At 42.2% G+C, this 5,975-nt stretch overlaps 1 annotated feature.

Annotated features, from left to right (window-relative positions):
• Window positions 4,348–4,848: an enhancer, noted in NCBI's record as "H3K4me1 hESC enhancer chr6:4317207-4317707 (GRCh37/hg19 assembly coordinates)". NCBI's record gives its function as "activates a minimal SCP1, AML or CMV promoter by ChIP-STARR-seq in primed H9 embryonic stem cells {active_cell/tissue: H9 hESC(primed)}" and the evidence as "EXISTENCE:reporter gene assay evidence [ECO:0000049][PMID:30033119]".

Raw genomic sequence — 5,975 nt, 5'->3', positions numbered from 1 at the left:
TGCTGCAGGTCTGCTGGGGAAACAGGTAGGGAGATGGAAGGGTCTGTGTCTTGATTCTGAGCCAGACATTTGATTGATGACTATATCGGACAGTTGACGTCTCATCTTCATTAGCAAATGTATTCCTATTATCTACTCAATGACCTAAGATCAATGTAAAAAAACAAAAATGATAACAAAAACCTTTCCCGAGCTCAAAACTTTCATGTTATTTTTTTTTCAAATGTTTCGACTGATTGGAAGAATTAAAATGAAATTTACTTCAAAAGCAGCAAACATGAGTGATGTTGTGTGCACATGAACTGGATTTATTAGGTTAAAAAAAAAAGCCCAAATAAACCATCTTAAAATATGCTAATACATGTCCATAGCACCCACAACACACTTTTCCCTAATGTTAAATATGAAAATACAGTGCAAATCACCCCGGAAATGTGTGGTGGAAAAAAAGGTATACCGTGGCTGAGATAATCAACACACACTGATTACTGTTTTTCTAAGTGCTTATGAGTCTTTTGCATTTCTTCTATATAATTCAGTATCAGAGTTAATGACGTATCATAGTTTTCTCTGATTCAGAAGCACCTCAATTCCTGAAAGTTTTTGCTCCCTTCAAGACAACTTATCTGCAGCAAAATTACCAATAAATCTCTCAGCATGAGAAATAACAGGGCTGAATGACTTTGTGATGAATAAAGAGGGTGGTTGGCTTCTCTCCATTCATCCTGATAATCTTCATTGCTATGTAAACAGTAAGAAACATTATCATGATTCATGTTCAAGTCAGTTCTCAGCTCAACACTGTATCCAGAGAAATGCTACCTAGTAAACATTTTATTAGGATTGCAAGGCACCGGCAAGAAAATGGCAAAAACATGACAGCCTGAACTTGTAAGTGAATGTGTGCATGAGAAAGAGGAATACTGAGAAAGAGTAATTAATCTCTGTGAGATCAGACACATTTAGCAGCATGTCTAATAAATGAATACTCTTCTAAACATGGTTAAACTATTCACTTTTCATTATTCTCATCAGAATCCATGTTAACCCAAGTTAGGAGATAACAGGAATAAACAGTAAATCCCACAATAAGGGTTTCAAGTCCTTCCTATTTTTAACATCCCAAAACTTAGAAGTATGAAATCAATATGATCATTACAGGGGTGCTGAAAGGCTGGGGTTGGGTAGATATTCTAAAAATGTCTGAGAACTGATAGGATCATATTTCCAAACAAGTCCAGACTTCTGTCATCTGTGCCCAGTTGGAAGAAAATTCTCAATGTAAGAAAATCATTCTCAGGCAGGCACCTGGAAGAATCTGTGATTGCCAAAACATTTCCAGTGAACCACTTTCCCTCTCAGGATACAAGGCCCCGATCCATTTGCATAAAGTCCTAATGCTAGAAAATCAACCAGAGTAGATAAGATCTGCCTGTCGGTTTCAAGCCAAGAGGAAAAGAGGAAGCCAGACACTCCTCCAAAGCTTTCTTTCCCCTTAGGATTGCATCAGTTCCCACTCTATGGGATTATTTTTAAACGCTGGTTTAAAATATTCCATAGCCCAGCTGTTCAATACCACAACATAAGGTCAATTTTATATAGTTGTACATCCTTGAAGAGCTAAAGTAAGGTGACCCAAAAGGCCAATTTTCCCCACCAATAAAATATTCATTCTTGGAAAGCTGCCATTGTGTTATGACACTTATATTTCCTTGTTTCACTAATGTAAAATTTGAACTTTGAAATACATTTGTGGATTTAATGTTTGTAGTTCTCAGGCTTGGATCACAAGATCTCAGTGTGTATCAATTACGTTTGCTAACAATGAACTGAGCCTAGATATGTCAAATCCAGTGATACTTCCCAATTGCATAGAGCCCAATTTAGCCAACCAAATTTCTTTTGAATTGTCAGAATGAGCATTGCACCTGTGAAATAGTCAAAAGAGGAGCTACTCTGGGAGGCTGAGGCAGGTGGATCACTTGAGGTCAGGAGTTCAAGACCAGCCCGGCCAACATGGTGAAACCCTGTCTCTACTAAAAATACAAAAATTGGCCGGGCATGGTGGCCTGCACCTGTAATCCCAGCTACTCAGGAGGCTGAGGCATGAGAATCAATTGAACCCTGGAGGTGGAGGTTGCAGTGAGTCTACATGGCACCACTGCACTCCAGCCTGGGCGACAGAGCAAGACTCAGTCAAAAAAAAAAAAAAAAAAAAGAAGAAGAAAAGAAAGAGGAGCTACTGCAACATAGGATGGTGAGGAAGGGAGGTACTTAACACAGACTAAGGAGCAAGAGCAACTAGCAAGGTTCAAATCCAAGCATGCCACCTGTTGGTTTAGCTGAGGGTCTGTGCCTCAGTCTTCTCTTTCAAATGAGGAAGGAACTTCCTTCACAGTTTTGTTTGGAAGACTAGATGAGATCATACCTGTGAAGCTCTTAGAAAAGGTTTTAGGCTGTGGTGAGTGTGCATGGTGTTTGACATTAGCATCCTCACGAATCAGCAGAAGCTTTTTTGTTTGTTGATCCTCACAAAATTCCTGTAGAGAGACTCGTTTTACAGATGAGGAAACTGGGACTCAGAGTGGTTAAATAACGTACTCAGGGTGATACGGTGAGAAAGAAACATCCAGGAATATTTGCTTGTTTTCTCTTTTGTGCTGTTGCTCTCTAGATACTGTATTTTACTTCTTTTTTGAGCTAACCAAAATTTTTATTTCAGTACTTTGAATTATCCCTTTTTCTCTTCTTCCTTTTATCACATCTTCCCTTTCCCCCTTTTCCTTTCTTCCTACAAGAATATTTTTAGCATCTCCCATGGACAAAACGCCCTTTTAAGCCTCACAAAATAGATGCGCATTGTTAAAAAGCAAGGAAGGCCTCTGGTGCCCTTGTCTCCCAGAAGGGAAGAAGGCTCTGTATCCTCCCCACTTCTTTGATGTGGCCTAAGAGCTTTCAACTTCACTTTTCCTTGAGGTTCATTCAGTAGCCCCTAGCAAGGAGCTGTTCCTGCCCAATCAGAGATCTGAAAGTCAAGTTCATGTGCCCACAAATGGCTCCAAAATAAAGTCTCCCCTAAGACCCTCATCTAAAAGTAGGTTGCTCCCTCCCTAAAGAGTGCGTCATTTTAATGATACAAAAGATCCTGGCTCAGAAGCACTTTATGTTCCAGACTTTCCCAGACAGTGCTGACTTCAATATCATTTTCAAGAAAGATAATTCCTTAAATGTAAGCCTGTAAGAAAAACTCATTTTTCCTTCCTTATACTCACACTTAACACAGAACACTTCTGTAACCAAATATGTGTGGGGTTTTCCCACACCAACTAGTTCTCCAATTCTCTTCAGACGCCAACTTGGTGTTCAATAATTCAATTCAATTCTGACACCATCTACCTGGGATTAGCACAGATCCCACAGGTTAAGTGTTCAGTTCCTCCTGACTCCTCACCCCACTTCAGACACCAATCACAAGTGATGGTCTCTAGGTTACCCACAACCCCTGTCTGACTTGGTTACAAATAGGAGGGTCCCATAACCTCCTCCTCAGTTTTGATCATTTGCTAGAACAGTTTGCAGAAGTCAGGGAAATACTCACTTATATTCACCTACCACTTTATTACAAAGAATATTACAAAGGATACACACACACAGCCAGATAAAGAGATGCAGAGGGCAAGGTCTGAAAGGGTCCCAAGCACAGGCACTTCTGTCTCCATGGAGCTGAGATGCACCACCCCCAGCACGTAGACGTGTTCATCAATCTGGAAGCTCTCAGCCCTATACTTTAGGGATTGTTATAGACACAGAAAAATCTATGATGTAGATCTTTCATGGCATAGGCAGGATCAATTTTTAACTAAATCTCCAGCCCCACTCCTCTACCCAGAGGATGGAGAGTGAGGCTGAATGTTCCAAGCTTCTCATCATGGCTTGATCTTTCTGGTGACAAACTCCATACAGGAGTCCACCAAGAGTCACCTTGTTAGAATGAAAGATGCTCCTATCACCCAGGAAATTCCAGGGGATTTAAGAGCTCTGTGCTGGGAACTGGGTCAGAGACCAAATATTAGGACAAAATATTCTCCTCGCACCCCTATCACTCAGGAAATAACAAGGGTTTTAGTGGCTCTGTGTCAGGAATCAGGAGCAGTGACCAATATCTATATATTTCTTATTATACCTCAAAGCCCAAATGTAATTTTTTTAAATGTGAGTAATGGCTGCATTTTCTGTAGGAAAAAAAAAGAGAACAAGACAAGTACTCCCTCACCAGAAAATAGAATAACTTCCTGGCCTCATCAACATGCCACCTCCAGCGTCAGCATTGGCCCAGAAATACAACCATTTTATATTTTCAGAAGCTTGACTTCAGTCTAGCCAAAATGAATTAAGCTCACCTGGTTTCACTATGCATGTGGATGCATGTGTACACAAAATGTGATCATGTGAGTTTTCCTTCCAGCAGCAGTGAGCTGCAGAGACCGGTCTTCTAAAACAAAAGGCATGGGCAGCAGGGCTGTGGAAACGGGCTGCCTAGAAATGCTGTGCTCACACATGTGACTTTGAATCCCAGATGATAGTTTGCCAAGCTAATGTGATTAATGTGCCCTTGTAGGTGACGTTTCCTGCTATTTCCTGTTCTCCAGTAAAAGCCGATCACACCCTGCCTTACAGCCTCCAGCAGGGTGGGGGAGTTGAAACAGGAACTCCTGCATCTCAGCTGCTGTGTAGAGGGGTGGCCAGTTCCTCAAAAAGGAATACCACCCTTAGGGGATTTAGAGCCGCTGGTCATCCTGGTTTTCCATCCTCACTCTCCCTCCCTGCCCACCACCCCAGCCCCGTGGACGTCCAGCAGGAAGTGGCGGCCATGAGGCAAGCAGCTGTGGCTAGAGATCAGCCAGAAGCATGTGGGCAGAGGTGGCTCAGAACAGCCTCAGAAATCTGGAGACGGAGTTGTAGAGGACTAAATGCTAAAGCTAAAGAGAGGAGAGGAACTTGAAGATGGCCTATGCTAATTTTTCCTGCTTCCCTGGAAAAGAACTGAGGCCTAGCATCCAGTTAACTAGTGGCAGAGCAGGCTGGACTTGCTACAGACTGTCCAGTATAGGACTAAATAATTTTTTTAAATGTAATGGGTGTCAAAGAGAAAATGGATGAAAACGCTTTTGCCAAATGGGGAGAGGAATAATGAGTGGCTTTTAAAAATAAATCTCCAAAAGATCTAGCACTAGATGGGTGGAGCTTCATCTGCCACTCTAACCAGTTAGGGTAAAAGGGTCAGCACCCAGGCTCCATCCAGAAACCTTCTGGCAAACCCAAATCTTCTAAGACACTGGCTCTCAAACCTTCCACACAGTGCCATCACCTTGGAGATTTAAAAGAATTCAGGTACCTGGTCCCACCTCAGAGACTTTGATTTGAGAGGGTTGGATTGGCCTGGGTGTGGGGATTTCTCAAAGTTCCCCAGGTGATTCTGATGTGCAGCCAAGTTTGAGAGCCATTGTTAAAACATGAGCATTTCTCCACTCTTCTCCTCCCAGAGCTTTTCCTCCTCCAACCCCCTTTATGACGTTTCTTACCACCTGGCTCCTGGGGCTCCCTGGTGCATTCACAGATGTGGCCCAGATCACTGTGGCTCACTTTTCTAAGCCTGATCCCCAAGTAGATCAATGGATCTGTCTCAGGAAGAGTGATCCTTGGAGAGACACATAATGACTCCCTGCAAATGATTCTCCTATTTGAAACACAGCTCAAGCCAACTATCATTGCTTTAAAGGGGAGAATAAAAAGAAAGGCATGCTCACTTAGCATGTGAAATTGTCCTCTATCCTTTGACCTCCTCTGCCTGGCTGTGATATTGTAAGTTGATAGAATACCACCGCATTCCCCTTAGCCACAGAAAATAAAGGAAGGGGCTTCATCAAGAATAGCTTCAAGTGAGGGAGGGAATGATCAGGTTTGCTTTCAGGAAA

This window comes from Homo sapiens, chromosome 6 (assembly GCF_000001405.40).
Source record: "Homo sapiens chromosome 6, GRCh38.p14 Primary Assembly".
NCBI classification, from domain to species: Eukaryota; Metazoa; Chordata; class Mammalia; order Primates; family Hominidae; genus Homo; species Homo sapiens.
The sequence above is the reverse complement of the archived record's forward strand: the minus strand, read 5'-3'. Positions and strand labels throughout refer to the sequence as shown.